The 26,783-nt window shown below is 36.5% G+C and overlaps 1 long non-coding RNA gene across 3 annotated transcripts in view, besides 1 other annotated feature; it reads right to left on the bottom strand.

Moving 5' to 3' along the window:
* Positions 1 to 26,783, bottom strand: part of LOC102724210 (uncharacterized) — a 396,780-nt gene that overhangs the window by 266,620 nt on the left and 103,377 nt on the right. For 2 of the 3 annotated variants that reach the window (XR_939184.4, XR_001741825.2), the window contains exon 1: positions 11,862 to 11,984. The exons of the other annotated variant lie outside the window; for it this stretch is intronic. This is a non-coding gene — a long non-coding RNA (uncharacterized LOC102724210). Of the gene's footprint in view, positions 1 to 11,861; positions 11,985 to 26,783 lie in introns of those variants that run through there. 3 annotated transcript variants of the gene reach the window in all.
* Positions 11,839 to 12,133: a silencer, noted in NCBI's record as "tiled region #9584; K562 Repressive non-DNase unmatched - State 13:Ctcf". NCBI's record gives its function as "represses a minimal TATA promoter and a strong SV40 promoter by Sharpr-MPRA in K562 cells {active_cell/tissue: K562}" and the evidence as "EXISTENCE:reporter gene assay evidence [ECO:0000049][PMID:27701403]".

The raw sequence follows: 26,783 nt of genomic DNA on the forward strand, positions 1-26,783 counted from the left end.
GGATCTGGCTCAGTGTCTTTCACCTGGTTGCACTCAAGATGTTGACTTAGGGATACAGTAAACTGAAGGCTTGACTAGGGCTGGTGGATCCACTTCCAAGACAGCTCACTCACACGACCCTTAGCAAGAGGCTTCAGGTCCTCTCTGTGGGCCTCCCCATAGGGCTGCTTGGGTGTCTTCATGACATGGCTGTCGGCTGGCTTTCACCAGGGGGAGTGATTCCAGAGAAGAGGAAGCAAGGAGAAAGCCACATGCCTTTTAGTCTTGAATGTTACACGCTATCACTTGCATCATTTGCTGCTCATTAAAAATGAACCACCAAAGCCAGCACTCTTGGGGTGGGGAGGACAGCATAGAAAATTAAGCTCCACTGTTTGAAGGAAATTTACAAAAAGACTTTAAAACCACAAGTGCCTCCAGGGGAGTATTAGGTCTAAAACACCAAATTATAAATTACTCTTATTGATGTCATTCTTATCTTGACCATGGATCAGTACCAGGTTATCAAAATAATCCTGGAAATAAAGTTAGTGTTCTCCCAGACCATCTGCAAATTAAACCTATCCTTACCCAAAACACAATGACATAGTACCATGCCCTAGTTTAGAATGATTATAATTTTTAAATGAAATATTGAGAATACCAATTGTGTGCAACGATGCAGAGTGATATGAACTCTCATACATTGTTGGAAGAAATGCAAAATAGTGTAGTCACTTATGAGAATAGTCCTGCAGTTCCTTATAAATTTAAACATGCATTACCAACCAGATGACTCAACAATGCTATTAAATACTCACCCAAATAAAATGAAAACTTATGTTCACAGAAAAACTTACATGTAGGTGTTAATTTAAAAATAATCTTTATTTATAACCTTCAAAATCTGGAAACAACCCATACATGCTTACACTGGTGAATAAAAAAAATAAACTGTGGTACATCTATATAATGGAATACCACTCATGAATATAAATAGATTAAATACTGATACATCCAACATGAATGAATCTCAAATGCATCACTAAGTGGAAGAAGCCAACTCAAAAATACATATACTACGTGACTGAATTTATATGACACTCTGAAAAAGGGAAAACTATAGGGACAGAAAACAGATAATCAGAGGAAGAGTTAACTACAAATGGAAACAGGGGATCTGGGGGGATGATAAAACTATATCTGTATCTTGGGCATCCAAATCAGTAAAGAGAAAGTCAAACTGTCGCTATTTGCTGATGATATGATCGTATATCTAGAAAACCCTAAAGACTCATCCAAAAAGCTCCTAAAACTGGTAAATGAATTCAGCAAAGTTTCAGGATACAAAATTAATGTACACAAACCAGCAGCTCTGCTATATACTAACAGTGACCATGCTGAGAATCAAATCAAGAACTCAACCCCTTTCACAATAGCTGCAAAAAAATTAAAATAAAATACTTAGGAATATACCTAATTGAGGAAATGAAAGACCTCTAAAAAAAACACACAAAAAAACTGATGAAACAAATCGTAGACGATACAAACAAATGGAAACACATCCCATGCTCATGGATGGGTAGAATCAATATTGTGAAAATGACTATACTGCCAAAAGCAATCTACAAATTCAATGCAATTCCCATCGAAATACCACCATCATTCTTCACAGAACTAGCAAGAACAATCCTAAAATAATTATGGAACCAAAAAAAATAAGAAAAAAGAAAAAAGCCCACATAGCCAAAGCAAGACTAAGCAAAAAGAACAAATCTGGAGGCATCACACTACTGGACTTCAAACTATAAGGCTATAGTCACCAAAACAGGATGGTACTGGTATAATAATAGGCACATAGGCCAAGGGAACAGAATAGAGAACCCAGAGATAATCCTAAATACTTACAGCCAACTGATCTTCCACAAAGCAAACAAAAACATAAAATGGGGAAAGGGCACCCTATTCAACAAATGGTGCTGGGATAATTGGCAAGCCAAGTGTAGAGGAATGAAACTGGATCCTCATCTCTCACCTTATACAAAAGATGGATCAAAGACTTAAATCTAAGACCTGAAACCATAAAGATCCTAGAAAATAACATCAGAAAAACCCTTCTCGATATTGGCTTAGGCAAAAACTTCAAAACCAAGAACCCAAAAGCAAATGCAACAAAAACAAAGATAAATACATGGGACTTAATGAAACTAAAAGGCTTCTTCTGCACAGCAAAAGAAATAATCAGCAGAGTTAACAGACAACCAACGGAGTGGGAGAAAATCTTCACAATCTATGCATCTGACAAAGGACTAATGTCCAGAATCTACAAAGAATTCTAACACATCAGCAAGAAAAAAAAGCAAATAATCTCATCAAAAAGTGGTCTAAGGACATGAATAGACAATTCTCAAAAGAAGATATACAAATGGCCAACAAGCATATGGGAAAATGCTCGATATTGCTATCAGGGAAATGCAAATAAAAACCACAATGCAAAACCGCCTCACTCCTGCAACAATGGCCATAATCAAAAAATCAAAAAATAATAGATATTGGCGGGGATGTGGTGAAAACAGAATATTTTTACACAGTTGATGGGAATGTAAACTAGTACAACCACTATGGAAAACAGTGTGGAGATTCCTTAAATAACTAAAAGTAGATCTACCGTTTGACCCAGCAATCCCACTACTAACTACCTACCCAGGAGAAAAGAAGTCATTAGATCAAAAGATACCTGCACACGCATGTGTACAGCAGAATTTGCAATTGCAGAAATATGGAACCAGCCCAAATGCCCATCAATGAGTGGATAAAGAAAATGTGTGTGTGTGTGTATACACACATGTTATACACATATGTATACACACATGTTATACACATATGTATACACACATGTTATACACATATGTATACACACATATATACACGTGTATATACACATACACACACATATATACACGTGTATATACACATACACACACACATAGCCCCCCGCTCTCTCTCTCTGAGCACTCTCTCTCTGAGCAGCAGAGAGCAACTTGGATGGAGTTGGAGACTATTATTCTAAGTAAAATAACTCAGGAATGGAAAACCAAACATCACATGTTCTCACTCATATGTGGGAACTAAGTTATGGGGACCAAAGGTATAAGAATGATACGTTAGAGTTTGGGGACCTGGGGGAAAGAGTGGGGGGTGGCGAGGGATAAAAGACTACACACTGGGTACAATGTACACTGCTTGGTGATGGGTTTACTGAAATCTCAAAAATCACCACTAAATAACTTATTCATGTAACTAACCACCACCTGTTCCCCTAAAAAAACCTATTGAAATAATTTTTTTTTTTGAGACACAGTCTCACTCTGTTGCCAGGCTGGAGTGCAGTGATGTGATCTCAGCTCACTGCAACCTCCGCCTCCCAGGTTCAAGCCATTCTCCTGCCCCAGCCTCCTGAGTAGCTGGGATTACAGGTACGCACCACCACACCCAGCTAATTTTTGTATTTTCAGTAGAGACGGGGTTTCACCATGTTGGCCAGGATGGTCTCGATCCCTTGACCCCAAAGTGCTGGGATTACAGGTGTGAGCCACTGCACCCGGCCTAAAACTTGTTTAAAAACTACATCTATATCTTGATTATAGAAATGCTTATGTGACTTTTTGTTTGTCAAAACTTACAGAACCATATGCTTAAAAGGATAAATTATACTGTATGTAAACTGTACTTTAGAGAAATGAAAAAAATCTAATCAGTTACTTTACTCTCCATATATAAGCAATCATGTCATGCACACTCTAAAACCCACATCCAGATCTATGTTAAGTGGCAGCTATGGACAGAGCCTGAACATCAGCCAATTCATATTTGTTCTCATCTCTTGCCTCTCCCAACCCAAATGGCCTCTTCCAAACCAACGATGTGAGAATCTGCATGGGTTGCATGAGCTGTCAGTAAACAACCCTTAGACCTCTGCTTAGCTTATGTAAAATTCTAGCCCATCGCTTTTAATCAGTTATAAATTAAGGAAATATAAAAGCATAATACCACAGCAACCAGAGTCAAAAAATTGTATCGTCATTCAAAGAAAAAGGGAGAATCACCTCCAAAATGGCTACTCCTGGCTCCCAAAAATTAACCACAGCTGTTGATGAAAACTAGACCAACTCCACAGGAAAACCACAAAGTTGGCAACTAAAAAAGATTAATATGTCTCCTGGAACAACTTTCAATCATGGTCCTTCAAGAACTCAAGGCCAAAGCTAACATACCATCTCTCCTCAGCAAAAACTTCATCCCCGTTTAGATACACCACTATGGCATCTTCCAGAGGCAGTGGCCACACTTCCCTCTAATAAACGAATAAACCACAAAGCAGTTCACATTGAAGGATAGAATTTAATCATCTAAAATTCAAAATTGCCAACAGGAAGAAAAAAATATATCCACACAAATAACCTGTAAGTGATTATACTTCAGCAAAGAGAAATGAAGTTTCCAGCAATTGTTTTAGCCCAAGACAGTGTGGCTGGAAACTTGGATGCAGGTGGTAGTGTGAAATAAAGAAAAATGATGGTTCCCTTTGCCATGACAGCCTTCTTTCCAGCTCCTGGCCAACAGTGTAAACTAAACCTTGCTGTCAGATTTTCTTGTCAATCCATCTCCAGAATTTCCTCCTAAGACTAGATATCCTAGTCATCCTGGAGTTTCATATCTTGTGGAGACTCAGTGACCCTCTTCAAGCTTGCCTCTCCTAATTTCATGAGATTTGATACAGATATTTCAAAAATGTGTTTCTGATCATTAATGTAAGATTTTCTTCTGGTAGTCATATCTAAATAGTGACCTATTGCCTGCCTCTCATTTGGATTAATTCATAGAATGTATTCATTTTAGTCACTATTCTCTTTGATTTTCCTCTGGCCTAGGTCTTGCACTGCCTAGATATTTTTAATCTCATTAATTAGAATGTAATATGGTTTTTATAGAAACCATACCACTACCTTAAGACAATCAAACATACTTCTTAGATTAGGATGACAGGATTCAAGCCTTTACACAAAGAGGCATTTTAATACTCCTTGACATGTTTCCAAAAATGATGTCTCAAGGAATTCCTTCTTTTCAGTATTTTTAATCCACTTTATTGAATTATAATTTATATATAATAAAATTCACCAGTTAAATTCCATGAGTTTTGACAAACGTTTACTCTCATATAATAGCCACCAAAATCAAGATATAGAACATTTTCATCACCCAAAAGCATTTCCTCATGCCTCTTTACAGTCAGATCCACTTCCCATAGGCTCATCACCTGGCAATCCCCAATTCTCTGTCACGGTAGTTCTGCCTTTTTAAAATATCATATACATAAATTTACATTATCTGGTCTTTTGTACCTGGCTTATTTCACATAGAATAAATGTTTTGAAGTTTATGTTGTGTGTATCAATGGTTTGTTTCATTTTGTTGTTGAGTATTCTACTGTATGAATATACCAAAATTTGTGTGTCTGTTCACCGATTGATTGACATTTGGGTTATTACAACTTTAAAGCTACTATAAATAAACCTGCTAAAAATGTTTACATAAGAGCTTTTGCATTGGTATAGATTGTCATTTCTCTGGAGTGAATATCTAAGAGGAGAATTTCTAGGTTATATGATAAGTATAACCATATTGTTAAGCATTCTAGTTGATGTGTAGAGAAAGACAGGATCGAAAGCAATTAAAATGAAAGAATATTTCAAAAGATAAAAGAGAATATAGAATAACATGGTTATAAAAGCCAGTGGAAGAGTGATTAAGGGATGGAAACTGGAGTTTCAATGTTAGAACTTCAGAAATTGAAAAAAAAATAAAAATGAGAACATTTCCTCTTCATGATACTCAAGGTAGGCAGAGTCAAAATAAAAGTGGAAATGTTTAATTATCAAACAGGAAGCAGTAGCAATAGTGTCACACTGAAATAAATTTACTTGAAGGTTTCAAGCGATCCTCCCACAGCCTCCTGAGTAGCTGGAACTACAGGCGGGTGCCGCCACACCAAGCTAATTTTTAATTTTTTTTGTACAGATAAAGTATCCCTATGTTATGTGCTTATATGAGAGTAATGAGAAGCTCAAAAAAAGTTTATAATCTTGTGTGAAATTGATTACAATTAGATAAAAGGCATAGAGCTCCGCCATTCTCTGCCAACCAATTAGAAAATAATAATTTCTGCCTAGATACAGAGTTTCAAGTATGCAGATATTTTACTACAAGTAGAACATCTAAAATAGGAAAAGGGGTTACAGTAAAATACCATAAAAGAAATGTTTTAAATCAGAGTGCTTTAACATTCACATTTCCACAAAACAAATCTACCGTTAAAACATTGTCACTAAGTACAATAAACAAAACTTTTAACTCTATACTGTTATTAAACTTGTACTATTTTTATTACTTTTCAAATATTAATACTATAAATACATATATTGCTGAACTCTCATATTATTTGTCATAATTTAATTCCCTTGAGTTTCCCTAGGTAGTATATTATTTTAATTAAAATTAATTAAAAATTAGTTCACCCCAAATAAATGCTACATCATTTAAAAAACCTTCTGACTAATCTTTGCTTCGGTTTCCACAAATTTTACAGACATAAAAAATAAAGATACAATTAAAACATAACTACAGATAGTCTCTAAATTTTAAAAATCAAATATGTAATTGTGTATACAAAAAGTAGAATTCACATTTGTTCTTTAACCATTTGTGAATGTATTCCAAATACATCTACTTCTATACCTCTGTTCAGACCTCTCTCTGGTCCATTAAGTCAAGCATGTTCAGTAATAGGGAGTAAAGTGAGTTATTTGGTAAGTGGTACCACAATCCCACACTTCATACAGTTTTCTTCAACCATCTGCCCTTTGCTATTGTCAAACCCATACTCCCAGCATATCTCGATTTCAAGAAGTTTAAAAACAGTGTCCCTAAATCATCTCTACAGAAGTTTTGGAAAGTTCCTTTTAAACCTCATGTACAGTAATTGAGTTAACTAGACTAGTGTCCTGATTTTTTTTTAAGGCAAATGTTTGGATTTGTTTTTTTGTTTTTGTTTTTGTTTTTTTTTAGATACAAGATCTTGCTCTGTTCCCCCAGCCTAGAGTGCAGTGACATAACCATAGCTCACTGCAACCTTGAATTCCTGGGCTCAAGTGATTCTCCCACCTCAGCCTCCCAAGTAGCTGGGACTAAAGGCGTGTGCCACTACACTTGGCTAATTTTTAATTTTTTTTGTAGAGATAGAGTCTTGCTATGTTATATTTTTATATGGGAGTAATGAGAAACTCAAAAACATTTATAATCTTGCATGAAGTTGATTACAGTTAAACAAAAGTCATACAGCTTTAAGGTGGTCAAAACAAAGAAATAGTTCATCTTCAGTACCTACTTCCTAGTTTCCTGTCCTGACTATTCTTATAAACACTACCATACTTCACAACATATGATTGGGTAGAGAAAAAAATTCAATAGAATTGATAGAAACCTATTAGAACTAATAATAAATTTTAAGAACATCACTGAATACAAGATTATAAAATAATAATTAATTTTATCCTAAACACAACAAACAATTAAAACATTTAATATCACAATAGCCACTATGTCAGAACTGGTTTGGGTGAAAGTAATAGAAACACAAATAACTGTGACAAACAAATAAAGGCTTATTTTTCTCACTTGGCAGGAAACCTGGAAAAAAAAACAGTTACGTACTTCAGCTGCTCTACGATCTCAGCCAAGTATCTAAAGGCTTTTTTTTCCACCTAACTGCCATGTTTTTTATACTCACAGTTTTGTCATTTCATATTGACAGAATAGTTGAAGTAGCTCTAAGAAATATGTTTTCACACCTCTATTACAAGCAGGAAGAAAGAGAAAAGAACAGCACAGTACCATACCTGTCTCTTTTACCAGGAAAAAAAAAATCTGAATAATCACCTTATAAGAACTTCTTAAACATCATTGGCCAGAACTAAGTCATATGGCCACCTCTAGCTGCAGAGGAGATTGAAAATTGCTACTACATAAAGTCTGCGACAGACACTTCTTAAAAACCCACAAAAAGATGTAAGGTACCTAGCAATAAATTTAATAAAAGATGTGCAAGAACTTAATGGAGAAAATAATAACAATTTATTGAAAGACATAAAAGAAGACAAATATATGGAGTGATCTATTTAGAAATAGAAAAAATCAATATTGTAAAGGCAGCAATTATCCCTTAATTAACATATGAATCAATGAAATTCCAATCAAAATCCCAACTTCTTATAGAAATTTGAAGTTTGTCATAAATTTCACTAACTTTAGTTACATCTGATCACCTCTAGAGACAGATGGAGCAGAAAAGGGAGGATAGTGAGTTTTGGGCTTTATCTATAATATTTAATTTCCCTAAAAAAGGACAGGTAGCATAAGTGAGAAATATTTTGCATTGTGTTAAGCCAGGTGATTTGGGGGTGCTTTGTTAATTCAGCATCAGCTAGTCTTACTAATACAGAATGAAAGACATAAAGATTAGGGGTAAGTAGATTATAAATTAAAATTAAGATGTAAAAGTGCAAGCCAACTCTCAAATGAATCAAATATGAGTCCATCTATAAAATGGAAAACAAAGTAATAAGCATATTACCTTGTAATATACTATACAGAAATATCTCCATTTTATGTTACCCAAATCTTCATTAAAATGGGTTTTCGACTATGCAATGATTAACCCTCAGAAGCTATGGATTGGTAGAAAAAAGCAACATGCCATTCCTATCAAACTGACAATGACATTCTACACAGAACTAGAAAAAAATCTATCTTAAAATTCATATGGAACCAAAAAAGAGCCTGAATAACCAAGACAATCCTAAGCAAAAGAACAAGGCTGGAGTCATCATGTTACCCAACTTCAAACTATACTACAGGGCTACAGTAACCAAAACAGCATGGTACTGGTACAAATACAGGCAGTACAAATACAGGCACACAGACCAACGGAACAAAATAGAGGGCCCAGAAATTAGGCCACATACCAACAACCATCTAATCTTCGACAAAGCTGACAAAAACAAGCAATAGGGAAAAGATTCCCAAGCCAATAAATGGTGCTGGGATAACTGGCTAGACATATGCAAAAGATTGAAGCTGGATCTCTTTCTTATACCGTATACAAAAATAAACTCAAGATGAAAAACCCGAAACTATAAAAACCCTGGAAGACAACCTAGGCAATACTATCCTGGATATAGGATTGGGCAAAGATTTCATGACAAAGACACCAAAAGCAAAAATTGACAAGTGGTATTTAATTAAACTAAAGAGCTAATGCACAGCAAAAGAAACTATCAACAGAGTAAACAGACAACCTACAGAATGGGAGAAAATTTTTGCAAACTGTGTATCAGACAAAGGTTTAATAGCCACCATCTAAAAGCAACCTAAACAAATTTACAAGAGAAAAACAAACAATCCCATTAAAAACTGGGCAAAGGACATGAACAGACAAACTCAAAAGAAACATACATGTGGCAATAAGCATATGAAAAAAGCTCAATATCACTGATAATTAGAGAAAGGCAAATCAAAACCACAATTAGATACTATTTCACACCAGTCAGAATGACTATTATTAAAAAGTCAAAAAATAACAAATGCTGGTGAGGTTGTGGAGAAAAGGAAACACTTATACACTGTTGATGGGAGTGTAAATTAGTTCAACCATTATGGAAAGCAGTATGGTGATTCTTCAAAGAGCTAAACACAGAAGTACCATTCAACCCAGAAATTCCATTACTGAGAATATACCCAGAGGAATACAAAGCATTCTACCATAAAGACACATGCACACATTATGTTCATTGCAGCACTATTCCCAATAACAAAGGCACTGAACCAACCTAAATGCCCGTCAATGACAGACTGGATAAAGAAAATGTGGGACATATACATGATGGAATACTATGCAGCCATTAAAAAGAATGAGACTGTGTCTTTTGTGGGAACATGGATGGATGTAAAAGTGCAAGCCAACTCTCATATGAAACAAATATGACTCCATCTATAAAATGGAAAACAAGGTAATAAGCATATTACCTTGTAATACACTATACAGAAATATCTCCATTTTATCAGCAACTCAAATCTAACTAATAGGAGGCTATCATCCTTAGCAAAATAATGCAGGAATAGAAAACCAAATGCCATATGTTCTCACTTCTAAATGTGAGCTAAGTGATGAAAACTTACAAACACAAAGAAGGAAACAACAGACACTGGGGTCTACTTGCGAGGGGAGGGTGGGAGGAGGGAGAGGAGCAGAAAAGATAACTATTGGGTACTGGGCTTAATACCTGGGTGACGAAATAACCTGTACAACACACCCCCATGACATGAGTTAACCTATGCAACAAACCTTCACATGTCCTCCCAAACGTAAAAGTTAAAAAAAAAAGAAAAAAAGCAACATGCAATCACAATATAAGATTAGATTACATTCATGATTAATAAGCCAAGCACATAAGAAGATCTTGTAGAAAACAAGATGGTGGCAGAGAGCAGGATGGAATGCAGCATAGCAGAGTTCAAAGTTTACCTTCCCTTGGAGTGGGGTTGAGAAACAGCAGAGCAGTAGCTGTCAGCAACAGTATGTGCACAAGGTAGGTCTTACTGATTCTGAGAAACTGGGTGCTTGCTACGCCATCACCATTTACCACTCCAAAATAATTTACACTATCTCTTTGCTCCCATTTGTTTCCCCAGAAGCAAATAATAGAATTTAGGTTCTTGCACTAAACAGCATCCTCATCTAAAGGACTTCCTCATGTATGGGAGAAAACAGAGCTATTACCCAAGGATCCTTGATAAATATCCCTGCTTCCAGCTTTCCCACAAAGCCCACTTATTCTTAGTCCACCCCCTGACTCAGTATCTCAAATGGGTAGTTTTAATGTGAATTTGGTGTGAATCTATACAAAAATGAATCTATTTTTCTCAGATTATCTTTAAGGTCATCTTTAAGTTCTTAGCAACATAGTCAAGTAGCGAGGCTGGAAAGCGGTATAGGATAAGGAATAGCCTGAGTATAAAAACGGCCTATGAACAAAGTAAGCAAAGCAAACGTAGGAACTGATATAGACTAAAATCAGATCACAAGTCACCTGTAAGAGAAAGAAAGAAGCAACACTAATAAAGACCTAGCAGTGGATAAGCCCAGGCAAGCAAGCAAAGAAATACATAAGGTAGTTATATGGGACTGCATTGCTTGACAAATCTTATAATATATTTAACCTAAGTAGTAATCAAATCATTGAACATGTAAAGAAAAATGCCTTCTATTCCTCCTCGTCTAATACAATGATGAAAAACTAAGTATATATATTCCAGGTGAGGGGGCAGGGCATTGGCATAATCACTCTGGGAGTCAATTACATATTGTGCATCAAAACTTTTTAGATGCTCATACATTTCCACCTAGAAATCCTGTTTCTGTTATCTTTATCATGAGGAAATAATAAGGTGCAAAATCATTACAGACAATTTATGAGAGGAAAAAATTGTATGTAGCCTAAACAGCTAACAAGATAACATATTAATAATGAAACTTCCATACAGTACAATTCTTGAAACCACCAAAAATATGTAAGTGAAGACTATTGGAGAATTAGAAGTTGTCCATGACATTTTATTAAATAAAAAGGTAGATTATAAATTAGTATATGTAGTATCATCTCAATTTTATAAAACACACATATATACATTTACATTCATACCCAAACAAGTAGACACACACCTATAAAGACTGAATAGCATACACATTTGCAAAAGTCACCCACCTCTGGATGATCTTGGCAGTCTTATTTGGGCTTTTCTTTCAAGCAGGACATACCAAGTTTCCCAAGGAATGTACTAGAAAAGTCCCATGTTGTTGTTTCTTGTTTTGCGGAGTGAAGCACTGCAGCTGAGGGGAAGGACTACAGTGCTCAAGTCACAGAGGGACACCACCCTGTGGTGGGAGTGGGGCTATACTTTGTAGAGAAAGAAAGAGGCGATAGGAGAGACTAGCAGAAGATAAGACAGATGATTAGAGAATATTTTAACAGGTTTTGTACTGTGCTATGCTCTTCTGTCACCTCATGAGAATTTCAGTAAATGCTGCAGCACTCTATAATACTTTTGGATTTGGCTTTGAGGAAAATGTTCCTTATTGAATTTGTTGATTTGTTTAGATAGAAATTTTTGGAGATGCAACAAAGTGCTGAGCCTGACCTTAGGAGGAATATTTTGAATTCATATGGGAGAAGACCAAGCCAGGCTCACGTGGCAAGCCAAATCCGCGGGCAGCAATTCAAAGAGGAGAAAGAACATACAGGGTATAAGCACAACTAACTAAGCAAAATACTTACATTACTATCCAAGCCATGCTAGATCAAGCAGTAAGAGCTCACACAAAAGGTGACAGAAAGCAGACACCGAAACAGGAAAGGCAGTTGGCATTGTTGATGGCCAAAACAGATGTCAGGAACTAAGTCACTGCGAAACTTAAGTTCAAGGTAATAACCCACTTAAGCATAAGGTAAGAACTTCCACACCATAGAACTACAGTGTTAATCAGGAACCCATTCCCTGGAGAGTACAGAATACACAACAGGAGCCAAATAGTTTCAGGTGAGATTTTAAAAAGAAAACTAAATCATTTAGACACTGGAGTGCCAAAAACAGAGGACATTTACTCAAACCTAAGCCAATGAGTTGTTTTTATAGTTATAATTAGGTTCCTCTGACTTATACAAGGATTGAACCTATAATGTAAATTAGAGCTAAGACTAAAACTGAAAGGGGGTAGGATAATAGCAGATTTAGAAAAATGTGAGTTTTGGAAGCCAAACAAACTATTACACTTCTCATTTATCATGAAATTTTAAAACCAAAAAACTTTACTCAGAAGGTCAAACTCCATTTCAAAAATAAACTCTGAGTAAGAAAACAAATAAATTGCCAATTATTTCAAGATTCTGAAGTGCTCCTGCAATTTAATGCTAACCAGAACAGCATTTGCATCTATAAAAATAACAAGACTTTGCTTTGCCCCTCACCCCAAGGAATATTGACATCTGAAATATAGGGACTAGGGAAGTTAACCGAACCTCATACAAAACTCCAGACATGGCTGCAGACATCACAAGAACTCTCCTACTGAAAAACAGAACAAAGCAAGATTGGTTTAGATAACAGCAAGGTTGAAACAGAGCACCTCACCAATAATCTTATTCCTGTTTTATCTAAAATGTACTCCAAGAAAAGTACGGAAAAAAAAACATCATTGTGTCTTGTTGACATTAATTCAAAATGCAATTATGCCCTGCATTCTGCATCTTCCAACTTGAGCCCTGATTTCTTGGGAAATCTAGAACTGGGAAAATGCATCTCAACCTACTAGAATGGCTTTTCAATACTATGTTGGCAGCCTGTGCACTAAAATAGAATAAAGAAGCTCATAGGCCTTACATTTTCCCGTAATTGAATAACAGTATGAGTCTTTGCATGTAATAGTGTAACAACATATACAGCTGTATATTCTGTAACAGGATATTGGCTCTATAAGAAGATGCACTAACTGCAAGTATAAACTGTACAAGATTAATTAAGCCCTTTGAATTTATACAGAGTTTAATCTGATAACGAAAAACTGAGTGATAAAGAGAAACTAAGATAAAGTGGAGACTCCAGCATAATGCTTATGAAATTGATAAAAAATTGCAGGGTTAAAAAGGTCACCATGTTGCTGTGCAGGTGCATCTATGATGCAAGTCACAGAATGAAGCCATATATAAACTCTGTATTATCTAAAGAGGGAATTTTGTATCATGTGAGAGTAGGAACTAGGTCTTATGTATCACTGTGCACCCAGTCCTGACATCAAGCGAGTGCTCATAAATTTTGTACTGAGGAAATAAATTAATGCAAGAATGAACAGATCAGGCTCTGAGCAAAAATGAATTAAGATGTGAACAGGAGCAATCTGAATAGTAAGCCTACCTGCAACTCACTTTAAGGGCACTCGTTCAGACACCAAAACCCACTCTAACAGAAAAATGTATCCCCCTACCCCAGTGACACACCCCTTGAGTATTGCAGTCTTGCTTCAGATTCTGGAAGAACAGTGCCACGTATGTGGCCTAAGCTGGGCATCAGTAGGAAAATGGGTGAAACTAGAGTCAATCCAAGATGACAAAGATAGTAGCCACCACTTAGAAAATGCTTGTCATGCATAAGGTACTGTCACAACCACTTTACAGTCTTTACTCATTTATTCTTCACAAAATACTTTGAGGTATATATTATTATTCTCATGTTACAGATGAGGAGACTGAGACTCATAAAGTTGAAGCTACTTATCCAACATCATAAGAAGCTAATAAAAAATAAGACTGGAATTTGAACAAGGTCTGTCTAATCACAAAGACTTCTTTCTATTACAACACTGTCTGGAATGATACAGAGTAGCTCCTACCTTCCAGCAGTTCCAAGAGACTCATTTCATTCAATCCCTTCAGGTTGATCCCAACCCTTAAAACCAATGAACTATAGTAGGGTCATGGCGGCCACCCTGGAATAGGATCCCTAGTGACACATCCAGACTTTGTCATCAAACATGTTTCATGTGTGTGAGATGATTTTTATAGCTAATTGACATTTTCTGCAATCTGGAGAGAAACTCACCAGGAGAAAAAAAAATGTGTGCTTCAGGGGTCGGGGGAGTGGGTAGGTAGGAGAGGAAACTAAGAAAAATAAGAGGGCAAGGGTACAAAGGGAACAGGAGAACCAGAGGCCAAGACAGACACCAGATTATTATTTGAACGCTGTCACTCTGCTAAATGAAACCTGAGACTCTAGGGTCTTTGAAAAGTATATGTGAAGAAATGAGAAACCTTTGCCAATAAACCAAGTAAAAATAAGCAGCTACAACAGTGTAGCCCATTGTTTGGAACCTTCTTTAGTCTACTTACTAAATTTAAACATGACAGCCAGTTTTATAAATTTTTTCCACTGCTTTTTTATTTCTGTTTTTTAATGCAGGTTGAAATTGGAACTTTCTCTGTTCCTTTTCTCCACCTTCCAAATAAGTCCTAATAACAGATTTCCTCAGACCCTACATCACCCACGATGCTTACACATGCCCAGCTATGTTTCTAAAGGTCTTTGGCCCACTTTTTGTTGTCTGATTATCTCTTTTTGACTTTATCTTGCCCTGTCATTACTTTCTTTACCTGAAGGAAGCTATATTTAAGCAGTTTGTCTAGAGGTACTTACATTTTCTGCAGTTAAATTAGACTGCTACGAACTCCAAAACTAAGGCTTCAGCATGACATTAGTTTGGTATAGTTTTAATTTTGACCTTCAAATCACTTTACTCAACTGTTTGTCTACCCATCTTGGACCAAGTGGTTGGCCCTGTCAGCCCTGCCCTGGCTGGCATGCTGGATTTCCTTACCACCTCTCCCCTGCCATAATCACTCTGTGACGTCATGCAGCATTAATGTTACTATTCATTAAGTGCCAAGCACTGGGCAAGGTGCCATTCCACAATAATGGACAAACTCCATAATCTCTTTTCTTCCCTCATGTACCCAGACTAAAGAGCATTCTCTAAGAGTTAAGAAAGTGTGTGAATGGTTTCCACCACAGATGCACACTGTACAGTGTAAGTTGGGCTCTTAAGTTTGTTTGGAAGTTAATTCTTTCATTCATACCTATCAATATTTGCTCAGCGTCTACCATGTGCCAAGCATAACTCTAGGCACTAGAAATGTGATGAATAAATGAATGAAGCAAATCCCTGCCATGATGAAGCTTACAATTTATGAAGAAGACAAAAATATATAACATGTCAAGTAATAAGCATTATGAAGGAAAGTAAAGCTGGGATTCATCTATATTTGCTCCGTGAAATATTCCCTTTGGGGGTTCTTCCCATCCTGTTCTCTTCCATCATCCCTGCAATCCTACATGCAGTTCCTTACATCTCTGTAGATTACATTTCCTTCAGTTTTACAGATAGAGACAGAAGGGGCAAGTCATCATTTATTCTCTTGACTCCTCTACATCTCAAAACATCTCTGTATCTTCACTCATTGTAGCAAGAAGAATGCTGTCAGTTGCAAGTAAAAGCAAACCCAACCCAAGCTGGCTGATATAATAATGGAAATTTATTGGCTTATATCATTGAAAATTCTAGAGGCAGTCAGGCTTTGGGCACATGGCAAAAGTTCCAGTTCTTTTTATTTTCTCCATTCTGCCCTTTTCTCTGTGTAAGTGCCGTCCTCAAGCTAGCTTCCCTTGATTGAAAGCTAGCTGCCAGCAACATGCTCACATCCTGGGAGTGAAAGCGTGTCCCTTTTATAGCATCATAGAAAATCCTGAACACCACTCTAGCTGAACCACCACTGAGACAATCACCAAGAAATGCCATGGGTTGACTGGATTGAGTCTGAACCTATCAATGGAGCAAGGGAGATGGGAACCAAACTCCAACCAAAGGTGGGGTCAATTCCACCAACCTGCATGGCTGCAACATGGTAGCATAAATAATAAGGAGATCACCATGATGTCCCCTTTACTTATTTTTTTCTCCATATCATAATCCTGGAGAAGCAGAAACCCTCCTCCTTGCTAAGACAATTCTTCTCCCCCACATTTGTTCCTACCTGTATTCTGGGAACTTGCTTTCCTCTCTTTTGGATGTTCTTGCCTTCTGACTGTTTTTCCCTCTGTCTACAAAGACACTTATGGTTTACCCTTATTCTGTGAAATCTTGCCACAAAACTGGTCTTTCTCAAGTCATTCTCTCTCTATTGTCGATTACCAAATATTGTGAAAAAGAAATCTGCACTCTAGTTTCCCTTTCTAATAACCAGTATAGGTCCAGATTTTGTGGAGCTGCATGGGGTGGCATGGTTAAAAGAATATAAAACTATGAAAACAGTATTAAGTTGTAAACGAATATTTAATTTAGAAAGGAAATCACAGTAATTTATAAATTTTAAAAAACTGACAATATCAAACATTCCAAAAGAATACAATATTTTATAACTGCCTGACCCACCTCTATAATATTATCTTACCAATTTTTTGACTGCATAACATTTGACCATATCTTATGACAATGATTTTTATAATCTTGTTTTCCATAGAGAGAATACTTATAAAGCTAAATCTGTCATCCTATAGCATTTTTGGTCAATATTTGTTTACCATTGATAGTTGGGAAAATTTCTTTCCATTTTATAATTCTTAATACGAAAGTCATGTAAATTTTAAGATCATCAAATTTGAGAAAGACTCTATCAAGTTTCTTTCATATATGAGCAATTAAATATCAGGGAAATTCAAATTTTCTTCTACAAGAAATAATTTCAAATCATCTTTAAACTGACTACACATTTTAATCTGTTCATTGTTGATGCCTGTTGTGATACCATGAGTTCTACATCCTCTTCTTTGTTCTATATCCTCTTCTTTGGTGACAGTATATTGTGTCAAGTCAGCAATACTTTTAAATCTTACTGGAATATGTTTGTATGAAGCATTATCTCTTCATTAATTAGATTATCAACTAACCCAAGGGAGTGCATTTATTACTTGCATTCAAAATTTATCTCTTCACATTGATAAACTATTGTATTTGTTATGATCTGAACACTTTTTTGTTAGAATTCACTTCTCAATCTTAAAATAATTTTTCTTAGTTTCAATGCCCACCTTTATCACTTTTTTTCATAGTCTATTAATTTTTGTCTTCACATTCTCTTCTTTAAGAAGTAAACTTAAACATGACAAAAGAGGGTCCACTTTACAAATGTCCTAACCAAGAGCCTATAAATTTTCACCTATTTCATTGAAACATTCTTTTTCCAAAATACAGCTAAAATTTGAGCTTTATGAACTTTTTCAACGACTTTTACAACTATTTTGCCCTATGGTTTCTTTTGAAAGTCTCTGAACATGTTTTTAAATTCCATTATACCCAGCTTGAAAGGCTGGGAACAGCATATTGTTATACCTAGAAATCTAACTCAGCTCAAGTTGAAGCTATGTAATCTATGGGACACACCAGAAAACATGGAGCTATTGCAAGATATCAGAATAGTAAACCTTAAAAAAACAATTCAGGAGCTATGGGCCAGCCTTTTCTTCAATAGGATTAAGAAAATGTGTTGCACACAACACACAGCCCATCAATGCATGATGTTTTTAAAGTGTGCTTCTGCACTTCTGCTTTCGTCCTTGCTGTTCATTACAGCTCTATTGTCATTGGATGGGTGTCATGACTGGTTACGACTGTCCAGAACTTGCTCCATTTTGTCGGATAAAGTAACAGGTAGTTTTCAATTGGTGAAAAAAGTTATTCAGTTTGGTTTCTAGAAATTTGTGTTATAATCTGGTATAGAAACTATGTTAATGGTATGGTATTTGATGTCTGCTTTATCTATTTTGCTTCCTTTATTTTATATAGATTTTCTCTCATTTATCAATTAATTCTTCAAAAATGTTTTGGATACATGCCACTTTTTTTCTTTTGAAATTTTTCCAAGTTGTCAAGGGAAAAAAGTCACACTGAATAATTAGTTTGATGATATCCATAACCTTTCCTTGATTTAAAGAATGCCACTTTTCATCATATCTGCTGAAGGAGAAACCTCTTTCCATTTAATTTTTAATAATCATAACTACTCATTTTAGTTCCTCAAAATAATGAGTGTTTGTTCTTGTCTACATCTTCAGACATTGTTCTAGTGCATTTTTATCTAGTTTTTGTAAAATTCAAGTAAATATAACCTTCTTGTATTCTTATGAGTAGAATTTCATGACTTTTCAGATTTCTCAATGTAGTTACCCAATTTGAAACCCAAGTGACCTAAGTGATATCTATCTTGTTGAAAATAGCTTACAAACAAAACATATGCATCCTTAGTTTTGGAATAAGTGAGCTAAGATCTATTCAAAATTTGACTTTACTTTTCTTTTCAAAATGTCCAGTTGAGCAACTTGTCTTTTGTCCCTTGTATGTTTTGCTTGATTCACTGAAAATTCTTTAGGGATCACAATTTTGAAAAAGCAAGCTGTCTTTTATTAAATAGTATTGCATGAAATTATTGCTTAATATACCAAGAAAAGGTGAAAAATTGCAAGACCTATTAAAATGAATTCATCAATATGACGCTGATGCTGATCTTTGGGTATGCTCTGTTGACCATACAAATTGTGTTCTTCACTATTCTTTTCTTCTTCCCAATGCTGTGTTATTTCCTCTTTCAAAGTATCCTGATTCTCAAAATCTTTAGTTTATCTTCTGATAAATTTTTATTATCTATATTTTTAACTCATTACTTCCTTATTGTTATGATTCAACCATCACTATATTTAGTTTTGATATTTTGAAGCTTCTGAGTTTCTTTCTTTCAGTGTGCTTTTTTGACTTCTACTAGGATATTTCTTTCTTATCATACTTGAATTTTGGAATAGTCATTTTTCTGAAACAATTCTACGAAATAAATCTGAAATTAAGGGATATATAAAAGCAATTCAAATAAATGCTTACATTGCTGCTACATTGAATCGTGCTACATAATTGTGTAACCAAATTATTTTTCCACTATCTACTTTAATTAATGTGTATCATACACTTTTGTCAGGTATATGCTGAATCTTTTAATACATCTCTTCAGTGGCAATTGCCAAGGAACAGTTGTAGTAATCATAACTCAAGAACAACAAAGTAATCAAGGGTTTAGATGACTTTAGGATGAGGACTTAGATCACCCATCAAGAAAACAAGCCTGATCAGCTACAGTCTGGGACAAATATAAGGGAAATCTAAACTGAATAGTAGAGGAGAAAAATGAAAACTATTAATTGTGTCCTTGAGACAAGCTTCACTAGCAAAAACTATAGTTTGTTTCTTTAATCATCTTTTTTTATTTTTTATTTTTTTGAGAAAGTCTTACTATATATTGCCCAGACTGGTCTCAAACTGCTTTTTAATCAACTTTTTTTATTTTTCATTTTTTTGAGAAAGTCTTACTATATGTTGCCCAGACTGGTCTCAAACTCCTGGAATCAAGCCATCCTTGCTTTGCTTTATCCCAGGAGTTAAAATTTTAAGTTTTCACTCAACCTTTTGAGTAGCTGGGATTAGAGGTATATGCCACCAAACCCAGCTCACTAATCATCTTGACTCAGGATTTTTAGAGGATGGCAGCTGGCTTTGCTTTGAAGAAGACTGAAATTTTACCTCTCCTTATAATAACAAATAAAGGTATCTTTTTCTCTCAAAATGAAGGCCCTATACTATCATATAGGAACTAAATATCATGGGAGAGCACATGTACACCTGTATCAGAAGGATTTATGTACAACCTCTGATAAATCCAGTTTCCAGGAACTTGCTACTTGCTCAGTTAAGTTTCTTGTATATTCAATAAGTTCCCTTACCAAAAATGAACAGAATTAATTTTTTAATTCTTTTTTAAATTTCTTTTTTTTGGAGCAGAGTCTCACTCTGTCGCCCAGCACGTGTATTCTGTTTAAGAAACATTTATTTGGAAGGAATAAAGAAAAAAAATAGCTTTATTGAGGTATAATTGACATGTAATACACAGTGAATATCTAATGTGTACAATTTGATAAGGATTTTGTTTTTGTTTTTGTTTTGAGATGGAGTCTCACTCTGTTGCCCAGGCTGGAGTGCACAGGCATGATACTGGCTCACTGCAACCTCCACCTCCTGGGTTCAAGCAATTCTCCTGTCTCAGCCTCCCAAGTAGCTGGGATTACAAGTGCGTACCACCACACCCAGCTAATTTTTATATTTTCAGTAATCCCACTCCCCGAGATCACACCACTCCCAGCCTTAAATTTCAACTTACATTTTAGATACAGCAAGTACATGGGCAGGTTTGTTACATGAGAATATTGTGTGATGCTGAGAGGTATAAATCCCACCACCCAGGCATGAGCCTCGTACCCAATAGGTAGTTTACTTTTTTTTTTTTTTTTTTTTTTTTTTTGAGAAAAGTCTCACTCTGGTTGCCCAGGCTGGAGTGCAGTGGCACGATTTCAGCTCACTGCAACCTTTACCTCCCAGGTTCAAGTGATTCTCATGCCTCAGCCTCCCGAGTAGCTAGGATTATAGGCACCCGCCACCACACTCGGCTAATTTTTGTATTTTTAGTAGAGACAGGGTTTCACCATGTTGGCCAGGCTGGTTTCAAACTCCTGACCTCAGGTGATCCACCCACCTTGGCCTCCCAAAGTGCTGGGATTACAGGCATGAGCCAACGTGCCCAGCCCCAATAGGTAGTTTTCAACCCATACCTCTCTCTGTTTCTCGCCACTGTAGTAGTTCACAGTGACTATTATTCCCATATTTAAAGTTACTCTTTTTAATAGACACTTGCCACATATCTTTCACATGATATAACAATATTCAAGGAATTAGAACATAATAAAGTGACATACTTCTCATACCCCTCTCATAACAATTCAATCATTGTTCATTATTATGAAGCCATTTGGAGATGTTGTATTGGCTCCAGTCATCACTGTGACCATCAACTATCAAGGTGTTGGCAAAGTATAGGAGTGACAACTAATAGTGACTTATAGCAACTGAATGCTGGATGTCAGAAGTTTTTATGAGTAAGTTTTTCCCTTTTTATTTCAAGAAAACAGAGCGAGAAACCCTATGATACATAGTCCTTCAAAATGAAGCTGATGTCTTCCCCAGAACAAAGAATATTCTCAAACAATATGTCCCACTAGGGTCCAATGCAGTAGAGAAAAAGGCACCAGTACACGCAAAACGTAGCAGATTTGTTCCCATGCAGTTACTTGCTACTAGGCAAGTACAAAATCAGTATCACTTTTCCAGTTCCCTATCATTACTAAAAGAACATTTATCTTTTGTATCTTTGTGAGGTTTTGCTATAACCTTCCTCTGTGGCTACTTTCCAGTTCTCTTAATACTTTTAATTCACATAATTGAATTATATATTCTCCTGTAAAATTTTACCTGGAATTCAGGAGGTATATGGTAATTACTTTCAATGATTCATTCCTCAGCATTTTTTCGTTATTTTACTTAACCTATGCTTCAAAACTAAATGTTAAAATTACTTTTTAGTTTCAATCTACTTGAAACACTGCATTATCCTTTCATTTTTTTCCTGTCTTAAAGAGAACAGGCAGTCGGTCACAGTGGCTTATGCCTGTAATTCCAGCACTTTAGGAGGCCAAAATGGGAGGATTGCTTGAATCCAGGAGTTCTAGACCAGCCTGGGTGACACAGTGGGACCAAGTTGCTACAAAACAATTTTAAAAATAGCTGGGTGTTGTAGAACACACCTATAGTCCCAGCTACTTGGGAATGCTGAGGTGTGAGTATTGCTTGAACCCAGGAGGATAAGGCTGCAGTGAGTCATAATTGCATGACTGCACTCCAGCTTGGGTGACAGAATGAAACCCCATCTAAAAAAAAAAAAAAGAAAAAAAAGAATAGTCCTTTCCAAACTAGGATAAATTGTAATCTTTCTGCATGGCAGCTTCTGTACAACATAGTCATCCATATCTAATAATCATTTTAATCAGAAGCCACTGGTGATATTCTCCCAGCCAAGCTTTATGATCTCCACAGTCCCTTAGATCTACTTCCTATGGCTATTCCCCAGCAAGAAGGCCCATCACTTGTCTGGTAATCTTCTCTCTGTCCCAAATCAGTCATAATTCTCACCTCAGGGTAAACTGACAGACCCCTAAGAAGACAAATTGGCCGTCAGAAGTAGAATCTAGAGCTCCCATCAAGACAATGACCCTGATAAATTCCTGCAGGGGTAGTTTTAAATGTCCGTCATTTAAATTAATACAAATATCGCAGTAAAGATTTGCTTTGGGAGAGGCTATCAAAGGCAAAATAAGAATAACTGGTTTGAAAGGAGGAGTTGGGTGTGTTTGTCTGTTTGAGCACCCAAATCCCCCTTGTGTAGCCCTTGCAGAAAAGCCGTATCACTTATGTGAAGCAGTCAACACATATGTTTTCCCTTCCTTTTTTTTTTTTTTTTTTTTTTTTGAGACAGAGTCTTGCTCTGTTGCCCAGGCTGGAGTGCAGTGGCATGACCTCTGCTCACCACAACCTCCGCCTCCCGGGTTCAAGCCATTCTCCTGCCTCAGCCTCCCTAGTAGCTGGGATTACAGGTGCATGCCACCACACCCGGCTAAGTTTTGTATTTTGAGTAGAGGCTGGGTTTCACCGTTTTGGCCAGGCTGGTCTTGCACTCCTGACCTCGTGACCCACCCACCTTGGCCTCCCAAGGTGCTGGGATTACAGGCGTGAGCCACTGCGCCCAGCTGCTTCCATCTTAATACAAACATTCACAGGAGAGGATTTATTGACTCTTATTTAAAACTTAGACTAAAAGTGTCACTGTTACCTTTCTTATATTTTTTTCTTCAAATAAAACACACCTCCATTTAAAAGTAAGAGCTTTCTTCCTACTAAAGGTATTAGGAATATCCAGAAGTAAGTGAGAGGAATAAAGTGAGTGATTATGTGTTGCTTATCTCGATCTTCAATGCAGGCATGGAGGGCCTGTCTAACACAGTCACTTTGGCTCCCTCGATTTGGTGTCTTCGGCAGAGTGTCTCAAAGTCTGACAATGTTTGGTTTCCATCCCAACCATGGGAGAAGCACCCTAAAATTGATGTGCTTTTCTTCTTACCTTAGATCTACAGGCCTTCTCTGGTTCCTATGCTTTTTAATGTCCTTCAGTTCTGAGTCCGCAGTTGGCCAATAAATTTCACTTTTTACTATTTGCCAGAGACTGTTCTTATTGCAACTAAAGAAGCTAAACTTATAAAAGAAGGAAATTTGGATGCAGAATAGTCCTTACTAGTTGCCTAAAATCACTCTAATATAGCAGTTAAGAAAAAATTATTTAGGCAGATAGTGAGGGTAAGGAAGTCCTCAGTAAGAGTTTCCTTTTAATGAAAAGCAGCTCCAAAACCATTTTCTTTTTTAACAAAGAGCAGCCTGTAAAATTGAGCTGCAAACATAGATAAGCAAGCTAGAAGCCTGCACGGATCAATGCTGGCACCTGTGCCAATACAAAAAGTCATGTGCAAAATGGCAGCTCCATATTCCCTTCTCTTTGCCAAACCACGTGTACTGCAAGGAAAAGACAACACGGCACTAGCCAGGCAAAGACCCCATTGCATAATAAGATTAGGTTGGGGCAACCAGCTTCCTCCAGTGCTATGTAAACATCACAACTCATCCAACCAATCTGGGGCCCTATGTAAATCAGACACCACCTCTTCAAGCCTGTCTATAAAATCCAATGCACTCCACCATGGGCCAGAAGTCCCATTCTGGTGCCTCCCCTCTCTCTCAAGACAGAAAGCTGTTCTCCTTTCTCTTTCTTTTGCCTGTTAAATCTGTGTTCCTAAATCCACTTCTTGTGTCTGTGTCCTTGATGCCCTTGGTGTGAGATGATGAACCCTGGGTATTTACCCCAGACAACAATACCACTTCAACTCCATGTTGGCAAGTGCCTGTACCATCTTTGCAGCAGGCTGTCTTAACTTCAAATTTTGGAGAAAGAACAAGCATGAATCATGTATTTCATTTCCAGTTAAAAATTAACTCCCTTGCTCATAGCCTGAATTCTCCTTGGTGTTAATTTTTTCTAGCCTATGACCCTAACAAGATGGACACTGAACTACATGAAGTTAATTAGAATTTTTTTCATTTTAATTGGATTGAGAATTAGTTCATTAGAAAAATCACTGACTCTTCATGGTTATATCCCAAATGTCCAACAGTAACATTAATAAAATATTTTAAGAGGAGCAGTGACCAGAAGAAGTCAAACAGGAATCACAACTATCATGTGAAAAAGCTGAAGAAATCTGTTTGTTTATATGTTTGATTGTTTTAAGCAAAAGAAAATTTAAGAATCCATAATGGGTTATCTTCAAATATGTAAAATGTTATCAGCTAGAAGGGTCAAAACTTTGAGTAAAAGGTAAATATTATAAGATGCCATATTTAGTTCAGTGTGAGAAATGCTTTTCAACTACAATTTTCTTAAAAGAGAACTAGCCACAGAGCAAGGCAAAAAGTTTTCTATCCCTGGAAACATTTAAGAGGCATAAGAGACATTTGTAAGGAAAGCTAGAGAATTCAGCTATTTCTATGTGCCTCAAACTAAAATTTCAGTTGCTCTGTTTCACATTCACAAAATAATGCTATCTAATAGCTATTAAAACTAAAATATATTTCATGCAGGATAATCACATATAAAAAGCAACAAAGGAACTCCTCCTGAAAATTACCCCCAAATGTTGTATACTTTAGCTTTTGATTTCCTTTCTAGAACTGTACTGCTTGGATTCATGCCTTGCATGTTAAATATAATTTATTTTTCACGTATGATTTACAAAATAAACTGCCATTTTTGAACAGGAAAAAAAAAAGTCATCTAGGACAAACCATAGCAGATGCACTTACTTATACTTTGAGTTGGCAAATCCAAATGGCCTCATCTCAAAGAAACAGGAACAGTTTATTGGCTGAAGTTTTCTTATTAATCTGAACCAAATTTTTCTACCATCATGTCCATTATGGAAGATTTTGGTTCTTCATTTACAGTATTTAGGAAGGGTGGTAAGCGATGATTTATGCAGTGGTTGATAAAGTAATAATATGATTTTCTGCATTTCATGGGCAGTAAAAGAACAGTTTAAAAAATTGTTTTATAACAGCAGTTTAATTTGTTACGGTATTGTAGTATTTTTCTAACCATGCCTCCAAAGGCCCTGGATGTGATCTATGCATAGCATTGATGCTAACTCTATAGAGCACAAAACTACAGCAAAGGAGATGGATTGGCAGCAGCAAACAGCCAGAATTAATGGTATTTTTCAGTCCTAATTATTCTCACTCCTTGCCTCTTTCCACCAATTTTGACTTTTTTTAACACCCATTTATTATAAAGGATTTGACAAAGGATACAGATGAAGAGATGCATACAGTGAGGTATGTGGGGAGGTGCATGGAGTTTACCTGCCCTCCCTGGGCACACCACCCTCCAGGAACCTCAATGTGTTCAGCTATCTGGAATCCCTCGAACCCAGTCCTCTTGGGTTCTTACGGAAGCATTCCTTCCTCCAGAGTGACAGGTGGGACCCTCTCACCAGGTCTTAAGCCCCACTGATTAGAGTCTTGCCTTGGGGCAGGTGAAAGGAAGGCAAGAGAGAGATGCTGTTTCCTCAGGCCTGGCCCTGAGGCCTAACACACCTGACACAATAACAGAAGACTGTAACAAAGACTATGGGAGTTATAAGTCAGGAACTGTGGATGAAAACCAATACATTATCAGAACACCATAGGACAGCCCCTTCTTTCCAACCATGGATCCCTTACAGCATAAGAATATGCACAATTATTAACAATTAGTCCAGTCCATCATATTGTATGAATGTCTCCCAGGGCGAGACTACTCAGGCTTGCAGGCTTTCTTTCAATGTTACCAGGTTCCGAAAGCAGGCATAATCTCAACAAACATACAGCTTCACCCTTTCAGGCAGCAAGAATAATTGAGCTTTTGCTCCAAGACTCTTTTGAGTTGTTAATGTAATATTGAAGTTCCCTCAATTCATAACCCACTTATTCATTTCTTTACTCTCAGCTACTGTTTCTT

The sequence above is a fragment of the Homo sapiens genome, chromosome 4 (genome assembly GCF_000001405.40).
Source record: "Homo sapiens chromosome 4, GRCh38.p14 Primary Assembly".
In the NCBI taxonomy this organism is placed as follows: domain Eukaryota; kingdom Metazoa; phylum Chordata; class Mammalia; order Primates; family Hominidae; genus Homo; species Homo sapiens.